Source organism: Homo sapiens, chromosome 2 (assembly GCF_000001405.40).
Source record: "Homo sapiens chromosome 2, GRCh38.p14 Primary Assembly".
NCBI lineage: Eukaryota > Metazoa > Chordata > Mammalia > Primates > Hominidae > Homo > Homo sapiens.
This window is the reverse complement of record NC_000002.12, coordinates 224653527-224671992: the sequence shown is the minus strand read 5'-3', so window position 1 is coordinate 224671992 and position 18466 is coordinate 224653527. Positions and strand designations below refer to the sequence as shown.

General features: G+C 43.1%; 1 long non-coding RNA gene across 1 annotated transcript in view; it reads right to left on the bottom strand.

Moving 5' to 3' along the window:
• Window positions 1–7035: 7035 nt before the first annotated feature.
• The window catches only part of LOC105373909 (uncharacterized), a 61147-nt gene continuing 49716 nt past the window's right edge, over window positions 7036–18466 (bottom strand). Inside the window, exon 3 of the long non-coding RNA XR_923955.1 lies at window positions 7036–7118. This is a non-coding gene — a long non-coding RNA (uncharacterized LOC105373909). The remainder of the gene's footprint in view (window positions 7119–18466) is intronic.

The window sequence follows — 18466 nt, the reverse complement described above, 5'->3', positions numbered from 1 at the left end:
CTAAATCCTTTCCTTTAGAAAATGAATACAAACAGCTGCCTGCCATGAAGTTCCTTTCAAAAGCATAATGCTATTTGGTTGGGCTTTGCCAGGTTATATTTATTTTGCCTTTGAAAAGGAAGAGCTCTCCATATGTTCATAAAGCTCATACTCCTGGCTGTTTTTAAGCTATCCTGTTGGAATAATCCTGTGGGATGTCCCTGATCCCAAATCAGTACAAACATTGTATCATCTCTGATTATGGGTTTCTCAAATATATAGTAGAAATAAGAATATATTAAAAACAATTACCAATAATTTATTTGAATTCAAACCTCTTGAAAAACTGACTACACCATGAATTCAATTTTATCAATTATTGGATTTACTCTAAATGTATGAAGAAAGGAAGAGATTGGGAAAAGTATCTCTAATCTTGCACATTTATCTAATGGGGAGGGGTGTCTGATCTGAATCAGTACTCCTCAAATTTTAGTACATGTAAGAATTACCTGGGAAACTTTTTAAAAATACAGATTCTGGGCCCCACCACCAGAGATTGTAATTCAGTAGGTCTTGGATGGAGCCTGAAAATTTTATGTCTAACAATCTGTAAGGTGATGCTGATGCTGCTCATCCCTGGACCACATAATAAGACTGTCTTAATCTACATTAGATACAAAAAGAGTTTGCATAAGAGAGTACACCTTTTCTCTTTTACCCTTGTTAAAAGATAATATGCAGGCATTACACAACATATCCTTCAAAAGCAATAACCTGTGAGTCCCCCTTTTATTTGCTCTATGAAGTAGCTTAAATGGTTATTGCTGAAACTAGATTCTATTGAGATTTGGACTTTTTATTTGTTTGTTCCAAGTAAATCTTTCACACAACTCTAGCAATGGTCTTTGGTGTTTGGTGAAGAATAATGCTACCTATCGTATCATCATTGTGGTAGACCGTTTAAAAGCCAGAAATTCCACCCATCTGACGTTGCATCCTTTGCAGTGTGACTTTGCTGATTCTCCCATCCAGAATTAGAGTCTATTCGTCAACCTTCCTGAATCTGAGCTGGGTTTGTAACTTGCTTTAATCAATAGAATGTGCTGGAAGTGATGTGATGCAAGTCTCAGCCCCTCAGTCTCAAGAGACTTTGCAGCTTCCACATTTGTCTTTTGGAAAACTGTCCTGGAATAGCCAAGTGAGAGAGGTGGTCTAGCCTAGTGAAGGATGCCAGACCATGAAGGAGAACTGAGGCACCTCAGCCAGCACCAACTGCCCAGATGTGTGAGGGAGGCCATCCTGGAGTTCAAGCCCCGGGGACCTCCAGCTGAAGGCCATTGCATGAATGCACCTAAGCAAACCCAGTGAAGAACCTGCCAAGTCAATCCTTAGAAACATGAGAAATAATAAGTCATTGTTTTTAAGCCACTACATTTTGGGTGCTTTGTTCAGTAGCAATAATTAAGTTATACAGCCATGCTGTATGTTTCAATTAATCTTGATAAGGAAGGACTCTGAGTTCTATAACAGAACAGAAGTAATAATGTGATAGTACCTCACAGTCAGCAGCGCCTGCAATAATACAGCAGAGCTCACATCATTGAGTAATGGTGCAATACATTGGCCCATCCTTACTCTTCCCTACTAAGAGGAAGTGGGTTAATTCCTAATTTTTAAAAACTTGTAAAAAGTTGTATAAAAATTGTATACATATATAATTTATATCACCTTTATATATATTTATATATAAATATAACCATTATATATATTTTGATATATTTATATGTAAATATATATTTTGATATATTTATGTGTAAACATATATTTTGATGTATTTATAGGTAAACATACATTTTGATATATTTATATGTAAACATATATTTTGATATATTTATATGTAAACATATAATATATTTTGATATATTTATATGTAAATATATATTTTATATTATATATTTACATATATTTTATATATTTACATATAAATATATAATATATTTTAACATATTTATATATAAATCTTTATATATGTTATATATTTATATATTTAAATAATATATTTTTATATATTTATATATTTAAATAATATATTTTTATATATTTATATATAATATATTTTTATATATTATATATTTTATATAAATATATAATGGTGATATAAATTATATATAAATTATATTTATATATATAGTGGTGATATAAATTATATATATGTATACACCATTAATTATTCTCCATCTGAAGGAGTCAACAACAATGACATAATCAAGAAAATGAGCCCTCTGCATTATCAGGTTCTCCTTACACTTGGAAAATATGAGCAAAGCTTGCATAGAAGTACAATGCATGATCATGTAAGAGAAGAAGATGATTCAACAGAGAGGAGGATGCTAGGAATTGCCCCACCACACAGGCAGAGCATTAGTTGTGGTAGAAACAAAGCAAAGCTTTCCAGAATAAAACCACTGATAACTCAGCGTTTATTTTTCAAGAGAAATGGGTAGGAATTACATTGAAGTAATATCTTCCTCCATAGTCTGTTAATTAGATGATCTGAATAAAGATACTTCATAATATTCCCTTGCATTTCTAAAATGTTTATAAGTTTTAACTTTCATTTTCAAAAGATTTAATTTGATTATGGGAGATAAGATACGGTATATTTTATTATCATCACTGGGGGAAAAAAATAGCAAAATTTGAAGTCCAGACAAAAATTTGCCCAAATTCTAACTGATGAACACATAAATATTTCTCATTTAGTGCTAGAATCACCTCAATTTCAGCAGACCATAGTGAGGGGGTTGAGGGACTCTAATTCAGAAGCAAAATGAGTGTTAACAGTTTTCATTTAGAGTTGTTTCTTTTTTAGAATTCAGTCTCTTGCCACCTTTCCCCAGTTTCATATTCAGCGGGTCTGAGTTGAATCCCTGAACCTGCTTTTTTTTTCTTTTTTTTTTTTTTTCCCTGAGATGAAGTCTCGCTCTGTTGCCCATACTGGAATGCAGTGGTGTGATCCCGGCCCACTGCAACCTCTGCCTCGTGGGTTCAAGCAATTCTTCTGCTTCAGTTTCCCTTGCAGCTGGGATTACAGGCATGTGCCACCACGCCGGGCTAATTTTTGTATTCTTAGTAGAGACAGGGTTTCACCATGTTGACCAGGCTGGTCTCGAACTACTGACTTCAGGTGATCCACCCATCTCGGCCTCCCAAAGCGCTGGGATTACATGCAAGAGCCACCGCACCCGGCCTGAATCTGCATTTTTAATAAGCATCCCGGGTGATTTTTATGCAAGAGGTCCTTGGATCAGTTTTGGAAAACGATGCAGGGGTTTAAAACACAATGTTTGGAGTAACCTGAGTCCAGCCCCAGCTCTGTCCTGGCTGCTTGACGTCAGACAAGTTTATCTTTATGAGCCTCAGAATCTTCACTTATAAAATGAGGACCATAATTACTTTGTTCAGGCTGACATAACAAAGTACCACAAACTAAATTTATTATCTCACAATTCTAGAACTACAAGTCTGAGATCAAGAGGTTGCCAGGGTTGGTTCTTGCTGGGGGCTGTGAGGGAGAATCTGTTCCATGCCTCTCTCCGAGCTTTGGGTGGTTTGCTAGCAGTCTTTGACACTCCTTGGTTTGTAGATTTCTGCCTTCATCTTCACATGGTGTTCTCCCCATGAGACTGTCCGTGTCCAAATTCCCCCTTTTGTAAGGACAACAATCATGTTGGATTAGAGGCCTACCCTACTTTAGTATGACCTCATCTTAACTGATTACTATTATGTCTTAACAATGACATCTTAACTAGTTTTATTCCATTGTCTCCTGAAACACTGGGAGTGTGAGCCTCCTTTCTACCTTTACTATAGGTTATGACATATAATTATCATTTAAACAAGAGAAATGGCCCTTTCAAAATGGTTCTTGTATACTAGAAAGATAAATGATCTGTGTTTTCTTTATTTTACAAAATATAAGAAATATAGCAATTAGGAAAACCTTACCAATGCACTCAGGGTCTGAAAGCTGTGGGAAACAAAGCAATCACCTTGGTGCTTTCTCTGCTTTTAGAAAGAAACTTATTTTTTAAAATCCTGCTTTTAATTATATTACTTAGGCCCCAGGGTACTGAGTCTTTTCTAATTGTTTGCCTTTTGTATAAGGGTTTTTCCATTGTTTCAAGGTTTTATTTACTTACGTATAATTCAACTAATAGAATTGTTGACTCTCTTAGAAGTTAAGGTAGTTTGCCGGGTGCAGTGGCTCATGCCTATAATCCCAGCACTTTGGGAGGCGAAGGTGGGTGAATTACCTGAGGTCAAGAGTTCCAGACCAGCCTGGCGAGACCCCATCTCTACTAAAAATACAAAAATTAGCCACGCATGGTGGCTTATGCCTGTAATCCCAACTACTCAGAAGGCTGAGGCACAAGAATTGCTTGAACCCGGGAGGCGGAGGCTGCAGTGAGCCAATATTGTGCCACTGCACTACAGCCTGGGTGACAGAGTGAGTCCATCTAAAAAAAAAAAAAGAAATTAAGGTAGTTTAAAGGGTTTATTGTTTAACTTAATGATTAAATTCCCCATGTTGTCCCAAAATATGGCACTTCTTACAAAGAAAAGAGACACCATTAAAAAGTAAGTAGAATTGCGTAAGAGCAATTTTCAGAGTAACTATCTATTCTCATTATCCCCCAGCAAATTAGCCACTTCACAGATTATTTGCTGAAAACGTAAACTCTTATCAAAGACAGGATGTGAAAGCTAAGGTATTTGCATTACCATTAACCCTCTAGTGACTCTGCAACTCTGAAAGCTCTCAAAATATGTCATTTCTTGGCTGGCTGATCACCCAAATATGACAAAGACAGGTGTTATGGTTAATTTTATGTATCAACTTGACTGGCCATGGGGTGCCCAGATTAGACATTGTTTTTGAGTGTATCTGGGAGGGTATTTCCAGATGCAATTAGCATTTGAATCAGTGGACTCATTGAAGTAGACTGCTCTTCCCATGTATATGGGCATCATCTGATCAATTGAGAGCCTAAATAAAAGAAAAAGTGGAGAAAGGAGAAATTTGCCCTGCTCTGCTGAGCTCGGACACCTCATTTCAGCTTCTTGGCCCTCAGAACGTGATTTACATAATTATTTCTCCTGTTTTCCGTCCTTCTGACTGAATTGTACCACTGGCTTTCCTGGGTCTCCAATTTACAGATGGCAGATTGTGGGACTTCTCAGGCTCCATAATTGCATGAACCAATTTCTCATGAACCAATGCCTAGGTGACAGAGCGAGACTCTGTCTCACAAAAAAAATAAATAAATAAAAATGTATATATATATATCCATATGTATATTACTGGTGCTCTTTCTCCGGAGAACTCTGACTAATGCAGTTAAGGAACTATATATGCATCTAACTATGCATGCATATGTAATGCATGCAAGTTTTCTATAAAGTTGTAGAAATTTCTAGTTAGGGTCATCAGCATATGATCAGAGTCTGACCTTTTGTAAAACTCGAAGAAATATTCTCCAAACTCCTTCAAAATTACATTGCGGTCAATATATGGTAAGATAAAGAAAACTGGGTATGCTTTACACTTCAGCAATGTCTTCCTTTTTTTCTTTTTTTTTTTTTGAGACGAAGTCTCAATCTGTCACCTAGGCTAGAGTGCAGTGGCACGATCTCGGGTCACTGCAACCTCCACCTCCTGGGTTTCAGTGACTCTCCTACCTCAGCCTCCTGAGTAGCTGGGATTAAAGGCACCTGCCACTACGCCCGGCTACTTTTTGTATTTTTAGTAGAGACGGAGTTTCACCATGTTAACCAGCATGGTCTCCATCTCCTGACCTCGTGATCCGCCCGCCTCAGTCTCCCAAAGTGTTGGGATTACAAGCGTGAGCCATCGTGCCTGCCCCTAGTAATGTCTTTCTACATATTCCTTTAGTTAAATCACCTGTGAAAGGTAACATAACATTACCTTGCCTTTGTAAAATCCTTTATAATTTTTAGAATTCATTTGAGGGATTGAATTTGATCCTGTGAAGTAAGGTAAGGCACATTTTATTGTCCCCACTTTTAAAGGCAGACTCTAAAGCCCATTAGATTTTGCAGTCTTGTAGGAGATAACTACTGTTTTGGCCTGGCCAACATCCAGCCACCCTCTAGAAGTCAGTGCCTGGTCTTTCAAGGAACTAACCCTTTCCCAACACTTAGGTTACAGGATTAGATGAGTCGACCTCATACCCACAAACCTCCTGTCTCTAAAGAGAAGCATGTGATTCAAATTAGCCAATAGGTGCATCCCATTTCCCTGGCCACATTGACTGATTCAGGGTGGGGCACATGACCCATGATGTTTCAAAAAGAATTGAATCTGGTCCTTTTATTATAACTGTTGTGAAAGATGAGCTTTTCCTGAAGATGCTAACCTTGCATGATGCCTTCTTTGTCACCACAAGAGAGAACTTGCCCAAAAATGAAGCCAACATGAAGAGAAACAGAATCGGGAATTGAGAGGGACATATTATTGGTGACGTTGGGCCCCATATTATTGGTGAAGCTGTGCCTGCAACACTACTGCTTGACTTTCTAGATAAGTGGGCAATATGTATTTCTCTTTTCTGGAGAAAAGAGAAATATGTATTCTTTTTCGTCCAGTTTAAGTACAATTTCTGTTACTTGATACTAAAATAGTCCTTACTGAATACAGTTAAAAATTCTAGGCCAGGCACAGTGGCTCATGCCTATAACCACAGCAGTTTGGGAGGGCAAGGCAAAAGTATCCTGAGCACCTAATTGGAAACTGCAATAAGCAGACACAAAAGAACATCAAGATTTGGTGGCATCTGCTCAGCCTTTAAGTTAGCATGGACATACCAATGTGTGTCGGAGGATTACTTGAGCCCAGGAGTTCAAGACCACACACACACAGTGTTTCTCAGAGGGGATATTCTGGATCAAATGAGGTTAAGTGATGGTTTAGGCTTTCTAAAATCCATCTCGGTGAAGCAAATATAATGGTTTCTCACCTTGTCTTTGAGACGGTGTGGGTCTCACTCCAGGTAGGAAAGGATAAGCAAGCTTGGTGAGGCTTTTCTGATTGCTGGAAATCAAGTCTCCATTACCTGGGAACCACAGAAACAGTACTGCCTTTGGTCTCAAGCAACAAGGGCTGCAAAACTGAACCTCACACATTAGAGGAACCCACTCTGGCCTTCATCTGGCTACTGGCTCTCCCCACAGACCAAGGAGTCTACAAGCCCAGTGGACATACTCCCCTGGATCCCACATTTTCTTCTTCTGAACCATGATCCACATATACAGAACCTCAGAATCTTCTGCCCAAAGAGTCCCACGCCTGATTCCAGAGCCTAAGCTCTTCCCAGGCTCCTCATACTGAGACCAGAGTGGCCAAAAAGCAGTTATGTATGTGAGATGTGGGGAGAACCATTGCAGAAGGTTTCTTGCAGAGCAAGATGGAGCTCAGATGGGAAAAGGAAAGTCACAGATGCATAGAGGCAGGGACGTCCAAGGATTCCAATAATTCTAAAACTGAAACCAGGGCTGCATGCAGTGGCTCATGCCTGTAATCCCAGCACTTTGAGAGGCCAAGGTGGGAGGATTACTTGAGCCCAGGAGTTCAAGACCAGCCTGGGCAACATAGTGAGACACAACTCTATAAAAAAAACTTTTAAATATTTTTTTTAATTAGCCAAGAGTGGTGGCATGCTTCTGTATTCCCAGCTACTCAGGAGGCTGAGGTAGGAGGATCACTTGAGCCCATGAGATGGAGGCAGCAGGGAGCCATGATCATGATGCCACTGCACTCCAACCTGGGTGACAGAGAGACACCCTTTCTCAAAAACAAATAAATACATTAAATTAAATTGAAACAAGCCTTCTAATCATTGTGAAGATGAGGACACAATATGTCTTATATAACAGTTTGGTGCCTTGATTTATAACTTTTACATATTTGCACATATGGCACAATGGCCTCCATTTGGACTCCTGCCCCAGACCTCACAGTATTCAGAGCAGGCCCACAGAGGAAGCAACAATTAAAGGTCCAGAGAAAGGAAAAGAGGACTCTGTTCTGGAAAACAGCTCCCTCTATTATGGTTTGGGTGTGTCCCCATTCAAATCTCAACTTGAATTGTATCTCCCAGAATTCCCATGTGTTGTGGGAGGGACCTGGGGGAGGTAATTGAATCATGGGGGCCAGCCTTTCCCATGATATTCTCATGATAATGAATAAGTCTCAAGAGATCTGATGGGTTTATCAGGGGTTTCCACTTTTGCTTCTTCCTCATTTTCTCTTGCCACCACCATGTAAGAAGTGTCTTTTGCCTCCTGCCATGATTCTGAGGCCTCCCAGCCATGTGGAACTGTAAGTCCAATTAAACCTCTTTTTCTTCCCAGTCTCAGGTATGTCTTTTATCAGCAGTATGAAAACGGACTAATACAGTAAATTAGTACCAGGAGCAGGGTGTTGCTGAAAAGACATGCAAAAAATGTGAAAGCAACTTTGGAACTGGGTAACAGGCAGAGGTTGGCGCAGTTTGGAGGGCTCAGAAGAAAACAGGAAAATGTGGGAAAGTTTGGAACTTCCCAGAGATTTGTTGAATGGCTTTGACAAAAATGCTAATAGTGATATGAACAATAAGGTCCAGGCTGAGGTGGTCTCAGATGGAGATAAGGAACTTGTTGGCAACTGAAGCAAAAGTGACTCTTGTTACATTTTAGCAAAGAGACTGGCAGCATTTTGCCCCTGCCCTAGAGATCTGTGGAACTTTGAACTTGAGAGACATGATTTAGGTATCTGGCAGAAGAAATTTCTAAGCAGAAAAGCATTCAAGAGGTGAGTTGGGTACTATTAAAAGCATTCCATTTTAAGAGGGAAACAGATCATAAAAGTTTGGAAACTTGCAGCCTGATGATGCAGTTAAAAGAACAATCCATTTTTTGAGGGGAAATTCAAGCCAGCTGCAGAAATTTGCATAAGTAGCAAGGAGTCTAATGTTAATCCCCAAGACCATGGGAAAAATGTCTCCAGGGTATGTGAGAGACCTTCACAGCAGCCCCTACCATCACAGGCCCAGAGGCCCAGGAGGAAAAAGTGGTTTTGTGGGCCAGGCCCAGGGTCCTCATGCTGTATGCAGCCTAGGGACTTGGTGCCCCATGTCCCAGCCACTCCAGCCATGGCTGAAAGGGGCCAATGTACAGTTCGGGCTGTAGCTTCAGAGGATGGAAGCCCCAAGCCTTGGCAGCTTCCATGTGGTTAAGTCTGCAGGTGCACAGAAGTCAAGAATTGAGGTTTGGGAACCTCCACCTAGATTTCAGAAGATGTATGGAAATGCCTGGATGCCCAGGCAAAAGTTTGCTGCAGGGGCAGGGCCCTCATGAAGAACCTCTTCTAGGGCAGTACAGAAGGGAAATGTGGGGTCAGAGCCCCCACACAGAGTCCCTACTGGGGCACTGCCTAGTGGAGCTTTGAGAAGAGGGCCATCATCTTCCAAACCCCAGAATGGTAGATCCACCAACAGCTTGCTCCATGCACCTGGAAAAGCCACAGGCACTCAATGCCGGCCCATGAAAAAAAATTTTTTTTTTTTTTTTGTTAAAGACAGGGTCTTGATTTCTTCCCCAGGCTGGTCTCCATCTCCTAGCTTCAAATAATCTCCTCACCTCAGCCTCCCAAAGTCCTGAGATTACAGGTATAAGCCACCATGCCCACCTGTAATTTCTTTTTGTTGTGGAGTAATGTTTCATTGTATGATATTTATACAGCTGTAAGTTTTTGTGGCTACAATTTGTGCTGGCTAGAGTTTGTGCCTGTTGTAGAAAAGGACAGTCCTGGTAGGTGGGAGGGAGAAGCCAGGAGGGAGGCAGTACCCTGCAAAGCCACAGGGGCAGAGCTGCCCAAGACCATGAGAACCCACATTTTGCATCAGCGTGAACTGGATGTAAGACCTGGAGTCAAAGGAGATCATTTTTGGAATTGGACTTCCCCACTGGATTTTGGACTTGCATAAGCCCTGTCACTACTTCGTTTTGGCCAATTTCTCCCATTTGGAATGGCTGTATTTACCCAACGCTTGTGCCCCTATTGTATCTAGGAAGTAACTAGCTTGCTTTTGATTTTACAGGCTCGTAGGTGGAAGGGACTTGCCTTGTCTCAGATGAGACTTTGGACTGTGGACTTTCGGGTTAATGCTGAAATGAGTTAAGATTTTGGCAGACTGTTGGTAAGGCATGATTGGTTTTGAAATGTGAGGACATGAGATTTGGAGGGGCCAGGTGTGGAATGATATGGTTTGGCTGTGTCCCCATTCAAATCTCAACTTGAATTGTAGCTCCCAGAATTCCCACATGTTGTGGGAGGAACCCAGTGGAAGGTAATTGAATCATGGGGGCTGGTCTTTCCCATGCTATTCTCATGATAATGAGTAAGTCTGGTGATAACCAATGGGTTTATCAAGGGTTTCCACTTTTGCTTCTTCCTCATTTTCTCTTGCTGCCGCCATGTAAGAAGTGCCTTTCACGGCCAAGCACGGTGGCTCATGCCTGTAATCCCAGTACTTTGGGAGGCTGAGGCGGGCAGATAACGAGGTCAAGAGATTGAGACCATCCTGGCCAACATGCTGAAACCCCAACTCTACTAAAAATACAAAAATTAGCCAGGCATAGTCACAGGCACCTATAATCCCAGCTACTTGGGAGGCTGAGGCAGGAGAATCGCTTGAACCCAGGAGGCACAGGTTGCAGTGAGCCAAGATCACACCACTGCACTCCAACCTGGTGACAGAATGAGACTCCGTCTCAAAAAACAAACAAAGAAGTGCCTTTCGCCTCCTGTTATGATTCTGAGGCCTCCATAGCCATGTGGAACTGTAAGTCCAATTAAACCTCTTCTCCTTCCCAGTCTCAGGTATGTCTTTATCAGCAGCATGAAAACAGACTAATACACCCTCTTTCTAGGATGGGCTTATCTAGACATTCCACCTACCAGGACTGTCCTTTTCTACAACAGGGACAAACTCTACCCAGCACAAACTGTAGCCACAAAAACTTACAGCTATATAAATACCATACTCTGAAGTATTATTCCGCAATAAAAATAAATGTTGGGTGGGCATGGTGGCTCATACCTATAATCTCAGCACTTTGGAAGGCTGAAACGAGGAGACTATTTGAAGCTAGGAGTTGGAGACTAGCCTAGGCAAGAAATCAAGACCCTGTCACTACAAAAAAAAAAAAAAAAAAAATTTCATTAGCCAGGCATGGTGGCATGCGCCTGTCGTCCAGCTGCTTGAGAGGCTGAGAAGGACTGCTCGAGCACAGGAGTTGGAGGCTCCAGTGAGCTATGATCTTACCATGGCACTCCAGCCTGAACAACAGAGTGAGACCCTGTCTCAAAAAAGAAGGGGGGGTTGGGGGACCGGGCGTGGTGGTTCACGCCTCTAATCCCAGCACTTTGAGGGGCCAAGGCGGGTGGATCACGAGGTCAGGAGATCGAGACCATCCTGGCTAACACAGTGAAACCCCATCTCTACTAAAAATACAAAAAATTAGTCGGGCATGGTGGCACGCACCTGTAATCCCAGCTACTCAGGAGGCTGAGGCAGGAGAATCGCGTGAACCTGGAGGCAGAGGTTGCAGTGAGCTGAGATTGCACCACTGCACTCCAGCCTGGGCGACAGAGCGATACTCTGTCTCAAAAAAAAAAAAAAAGGAAAGAAGAAATGATATAATGATTATACTGATACATGCTACAGTGTAGATGAACCTCGAAAACATTATGCTAAGTGAAAGAGGCTACATATCGTATGATTCTGTTACCAATGGAAGGTGTCCAGGATCTTGGCATCTTGAACAAAGAATTGACAAAACGTACAAACAAAGCAAGGACAGAATGAAGCAACAAAAGCAGAGATTTATTGAAAATGAAAGTGCACTCCACAGGGTGGAAGTGGTCCGAGCATAGGGGCTCAAGAGCCTCGTTACAGAATTTTCTGGGGTTTAAATAGCCTCTGGAGGGTTCCAATGGAGTATGTGCTATGTAAATGAAGACACTAAAGAGAAGTTACAAAGTCACTCAGTGTATGCCCTATGTAAATGAAGAGGATATTTCCTTTCATCACTGAAGTGTTTCTGTTTGATTTAGTTCTAGGGAGTCCTTAGGTTCCCGGCCTCCAGCCCCTATTCTCCTGCCTCAATTCCATGTATGTAAAATGTCCGGAATAGGCGAACCCACAGGGACAGAAAGTTGACTAGTGGTTGCCTGGGGCTGGGGGAAGGAGGTGGGAGGTGGGCAGAGAAGGACACATAGGGGAATGATAGCTGTCTTAATCAGTTCAGGCTACCATAACAAAATACCACATACTAGGTAACTTAAATGAAAGAAATTTATTTTCTCATAATTAAAGACGCTGGAAGTCTAAGATCAAGGTACCAATAGTGCCTGTATCTGGTGGAGGCTTTCTTCTATGGTGAGAGAAGAGAAAACAAGCAAGTTCTCTGGGGTCTCTTATTATAAGGGCCCTAATCCTATCATGAGGGTCCCAATCTCCTGACTTCATCTAAACCTATTATCTTCCAAAGGCCCCACCTCCAAATACCATTACATTGGAGATTAGGGCTTCAGCATATAAATTATGGGGAGAGGGATATAGAATTCAGTCCATAGCAACAACTCAAGGGCACAGGGCTTTCTTAGGGAGAAAAAAATGTTTCAAAACTTATTATGGTGATAGTTGCACAACTCTATGAATATACAAAACCCATTGAATTGCACACTTTACATGGAGGAGTTGTATGGTTATATGAATTATATCTCCATAAGGATATTAAGGCCTTCAAGCTGAGAATGGTTTTTTTACATTGTTTTTGTTGAGGTGAAATTCACATAACTTCAAACTCACATAATGCATTTTAAAACAAATAATGCCATGTTTGAATAGAACAATTCCATTCAGCACATTCACAATGTTGGGTAACCTTCACATCTGTCTAGTTGCAAAACATTCACACACAAACACACATTGGCCTTTGTTGTTATAAGAAACCCAAATTAGAAAAATGCTCAAATGCAATAAACTGTCATGCAGCCCCATAAATTGGCCTCTGCTTGTTGTCTGAATCCTGAGGAAGTAAAAATAAGTAAAGGACTAAGCTCCATGAGGGTGGCAAAATGTCTGCCTTGCCCACTGCTGTAACTAGGGCACCGCATATGTCCCCCTGGGTAATGCTCTGTGGAATGAATTAATAAATATGACTAATACAAAATTTATGCTCCAGAGAACTTATCATTATATACTCCTTACTTCTGACAAAAGAAATTAGCCCTTCCTTTAGCCCAAGAGCCCACAAATGATGACCCTGCAGCCAAGTTCATCCTCTAGCCTGTTTTTTTAAGGCTTTTGAGCTAAGAATGTTCTTTAAGGTATTTGTTTGTTTTCCTTGAGGTGAAATTCAGAAAACTGAAATTGAACCATTTTATATTGAAATTCATGGCCGGGCGCTGTGGCTCACGCCTGTAATCCCAGCACTTTGGGAGGCTGAGGCGGGCGGATCACGACGTCAGGAGATCGAGACCATCCTTGCTAACAAAGTGAAACCCCGTCTCTACTAAAAATACAAAAAAAATTAGCCGGGCGTGGTGGTGGGCACCTGTAGTCCCAGCTACTCAGGAGGCTGAGGCAGGAGAATGGCGTGAACCCCGGGAGGTGGAGCTTGCAGTGAGCCGAGGTAGCGCCACTGCAGTCCAGCCTGGGTGAAAGAGCAAGACTCCGTCTCAAAATAAATAAATAAATAAATAAATTGAAATTCACATAACAGAAATTCATATCACAGAAACTGAAACATTTTAAATTTAACAATGCCATGTTTAAGTGAAATAATTTCATTTAGTACATTTACAATGTTGTGCAACCTCACCTATCCAGTTCCAAAACATTTCATCACCCCAAAAAGAGTAATCATGCCCATTAAACAGTCGCTCCTTTCCTCCTCCCCTAGCTCCTGGCAACCGCCAATCTGCTGTCTCCACGGACTTGCCTATTCTGGATATATCATATAAATTGAAACACACAATATGCCACCTTTTGTGTATGGTATCTTTCACTTAGCATGCTTTTGAAGCTCATCCAAGTTTTAAAGGGTTGTAAAAAACAACAACAACAACAACAACAAAAATATGTGACAGATACCTTCCGTAGCCAGCAAAGCCTAAAATATTGCTATCTGGCCTTTTAATGAAAAAATCTGCCAAGTTAGCCTGAACCCTTACCTGGCCCAAGGTTATCCAGAACAGTTTAGTTGATGCTAACATGTGTATGTGGACACACTCATACGTGTCCAAACTGAGATCATTTGCCCTCGCTCAATGGCCAAACACCAAAACACGGGCTTGTGCAGCAAGAAAGGTTTGTTATGACTATACTGACAAAGTGATAAGAGGAAATGCTCAAATCTGTCTCCGAGAGCTGAGGGCTGGGTTGAGTTTTATAAGCATGAGGTAATGAGGTGTGATCTAATTGGATCTTGCAATGAGGTGATGCCCACAGGCATGATCTGATGGATCCAGCCATGGGGTGATGCTGGAGTCTGGTCTCATTGGATCCCGGACCCTGCCATGTAGTGTCCTTCCCCCCCCCCCCCCCCCCGCCCCAAGACAGGGTCTCCTTCTGTAGCCCAGGCTGCAGTGCAGTGGCACAATTATGTCTCACTGCAGCCTTGACCTTCTGGGCTCAGGTGATCCTCCCGCCTTAGCCCCCTGAATAGCTGGGACTACAGGCACACACCACCATACCTGGCTTATTTTTGTATTTTTAGTAGAGATGGGGTTTCACGGTGTTGCCCAAACTGGTCTTGAACTCCTGGGGTCAAGCAATGCACCTGCCTCAACCTACCATAGTGCTGGTGTGTCCACAATTGGCGGGTTCATGGTCTCACTGACTTCAAGAATAAAGCCGCACACCCTCTCGGTGGGTGTTACAGTTCTTAAAGAAGGTGTGTCCAGAGTTTGTTCCTTCTCATATTCAGACACATTCGGAGTTTGTTCTTTCTGGTGGATTCATGGTCTCCCTGGCTTCACGAGTGAAGCTGCAGACCTTCACGATGAGTGTTACAGCTCTTAAGGCTGCGCGTCTAGAGCTGTTCATTCCTCCCGTCTGGAGTTAGTCATTCCTCCCTGTGGGTTCATGGCCTTGCTGGCCTCAGGAGTGAAGCTGCAGACCTTCACGGTGAATGTTACAGCTCATAAAGGTAGTGCGGATCTAAAGAGTGAGCAGGACCAACATTTATTGCAAAGAGCAAAACAACAAATCTTCCACAGTGTTGAAGGGGACCCAAGCCGGCTGCTGCTGCTGGCTCTGGCAGCCTGCTTTTATTCCCTTATCTGACCCCACCCACATCCTGCTGATTGGCCCATTTTACAGAAAGCTGATTGGTCCATTTTGCAGAGAGCTTATTGGTCCGTTTTGACAGGGTGCTGATTGGTGCATTTACAATCACTGAACTAGACACAGAGTGCTGATTGGTGTATTTACAATCCTCCAGCTAGAGGTAAAAGTTCTCCAAGTCCCCACTAGATTAGCTAGACACAGAGCACTGATTGGTGCATTTACAAACCTTGAGCTAGACACAGGGTGCTGATTGGTGCATTTACAAACCTTGAGCTAGACACAGAGTGCTGATTGGTGTGTTTACAAACCTTGAGCTAGACACAGAGTGCTTATTGGTGCATTTACAATCCTTTAGCTAGACATATAAGTTCTCCAAGTCTTGGCCCGACGCAGTGGCTCACGCCTGTAATCCCAGCACTTTGGGAGGCCAAGGCTAGCGGATCACGAGGTCAGGAGATGGAGACCATCCTGGATAACAAGGTGAAACCCCATCTCTACTAAAAATACAAAAAAAATTAGCCAGGCGGCGCAGTGGCGGGCACCTGTAGTCCCAGCTACTCAGAAGGCTGAGACAGAAGAATGGCATGAACCGGGGAGGCGGAGCTTGCAGTGAGCATAGATAGTGCCACTGCACTCCAGCCTGGGTGAAAAAGTGAGACTTCGTCTCAGAAAAAAAAAAAAGGTTCTCCAAGTCCCCACCAGATGAGCTAGATACAGAGTGCTGATTGGTGCACCCATGAACCCCGAGCTAGACACAGAGTGCTGACTGGTGCATATACAATCCTCCAGCTAGACATAAAAGTTCTCTAAGTCCCCACCTGACTCAGGAGCCCAGCTGGCTTCACCTAGTGGATCCGTGCCAGGGCTGGGGGCGGAGTTGCTCACCAGTCCCACGCTCTGCACCTGCACTCCTCAGCCCTTGGGCAGTCTATGGGACCGGGCGCCACGGAGCAGGGGGCTGGCGTCTGTTGGGGAGGCTCAGGCCGTGCAGGAGCCCATGACTGGGGTGGGGGGTGGGGCTTGGGCATGGTGGGCTGAAGGTCCCCAGCCCTGCCCCTCCGGAGGCGGCTGAGGCCAGGCGAGAATTCGAGCACCGCGCAGGCCGGCCGGCAGTGCTGGGGGACCCAGCGCCCCCTCCACAGCTGCTGGCCACAGTGCTAAGCCCCTCACTGCCTGGGGCCAGCGGCACTGGCCGGCAGCTCTGAGTGCAGGGCCCGCTGAGCCCGTGCACACCCGGAACTCGCGCTGGCCCATGAGCACCACGTGCAGCCCCAGTTCCCGCCTGCGCCTCTCCCTCCACACCTCCCTGCAAGCAGAGGGTGCCAGCTCCGGCCACGGCCAGCCCAGAGAGGGGCTCCCACCATGCAGCAGCGGGCTGAAGGGCTCCTGAAGCATGGCCAGAGCGGATGCCAAGGCCGAGGAGGTGCTGAGAGCGAGCAAGGGCTGCTAGCACGTTGTCACCTCTCACTGGGATTACAGGCATGAGCCACAGCACCTGGCCCTCACCTCTCTCAAGGCATAACATTTAAAGATTGGCTGGATCATTGATTTTTCAAAAAACTTTTCTGACCTCAACATATGTTCCCACCACTGAAATAATGTTTAAGAGATTTTTTCACCTTCTTTAAACTTATGTTACAGAGCCTGGGAATTATTTTACTACCAATTTATAAACCTCCGAAAATATGAGAGCTGGTGAAACTACTAACAGATTTCTAGAGCTTCTCTGACCATGTCAAAGACCATTTTCCTCTCTCTTGCCCAAGAACACATCCTTTCCGCCTGAGTTAAAAGCCACCTTTCAAGCATCATATTCTACTTCAGAAAGAGCCAGATATAGCCATGGGAGTTGGGATAAGGAAAGAAACTCATATGACTTCTTTTTTTTTTTTCTCTCTCTCTCTCTCTCTCTTTTGAGATGGAGTTTCACTCTTGTCACCCAGGCTGGAGTGCAATGGCTCAATCTTGGCTCACTGCAACCTCTGCCTCCCGGGTTCAAACGGTTCTCCTGCCTCAACCTCCTGAGTAGCTGGGACTACAGGTGTGTGCCACCACACCCAGCTAATTTTTTGTATTTTTAGTAGACATGGAGTTTCACCATGTTGGCCAGGCTGGGCTCGAACTCCTGACCTCAGGTGATCCACCCACCTTGGCCTCCCAAAGTGCTGGGATTACAGGCGTGAGCCACCATGCCGACCTGAAATCCATATGACTTCTTTCAAAAAGCTTTCTGCTAAATAAATCTGGTCTGAATGGAGGGAGACAAGTAGGCATGGTTGATCTCTGTGAGAAGTGAAGAGAGGAAAGACATTGCAGGGGTAACAAGTAGATACCAAATTAGAGCTCTTCAAGCTCAAGGCTGTTAGTTTGCTCTTGTGAGTGTCCTTTAGTTTTTTTTTAATTAAAAAGATTTTTTTAAATCACAGACAAGGACTCATTCTGTCACACAGACTGGAGTGCAATGGCACCATCACAGTTCACTGCATCCTTAATCTCCAGGGCTCAAGTGATCCTCCTAATTCAGCTTCTGGAGTAGCTGGGACTACAAGTGTGAGCCACCATGCCCTGCTAACCTTCGTTTTGTTTTTTTAAGAGACAGGGTCTTACCATGCTGCCCAGGCTAGTCTCAAACTCCTGGCCTCAAGCAATCCCCCTGGGTGGCCTCCCTAGTGCTGGGATTACAAACGTGGGACACTGCACCTATCTGTGAATGTCTTTTAAAATCAGATCCACAAGAAAATAATTTTCCAGCCAAATTTTGGCAGAATACAAACCTCGGGGAAAAATGCAACTTGATGACCACTGGGTTCAACGCCAGCAACAGGAAAATCACACTGCATCAAACTATGGGTCTGACTATAGTCTGCCCTGTGAGACCAAGGTCTTTGCAACATTAAGTATCCCGGATTTAGACAAATGCTGCTATCCATTATGGTAGAGTATTACTTTAATCATAAGAATGTACTTAGTTTTTATTGATTTCAGAACCTTATGGTTCCTCCAAAGGTGGACCTTATAAAATAAAGTAAAAGATAAAAAGTTTGGAGGATGCACATTTATGACAT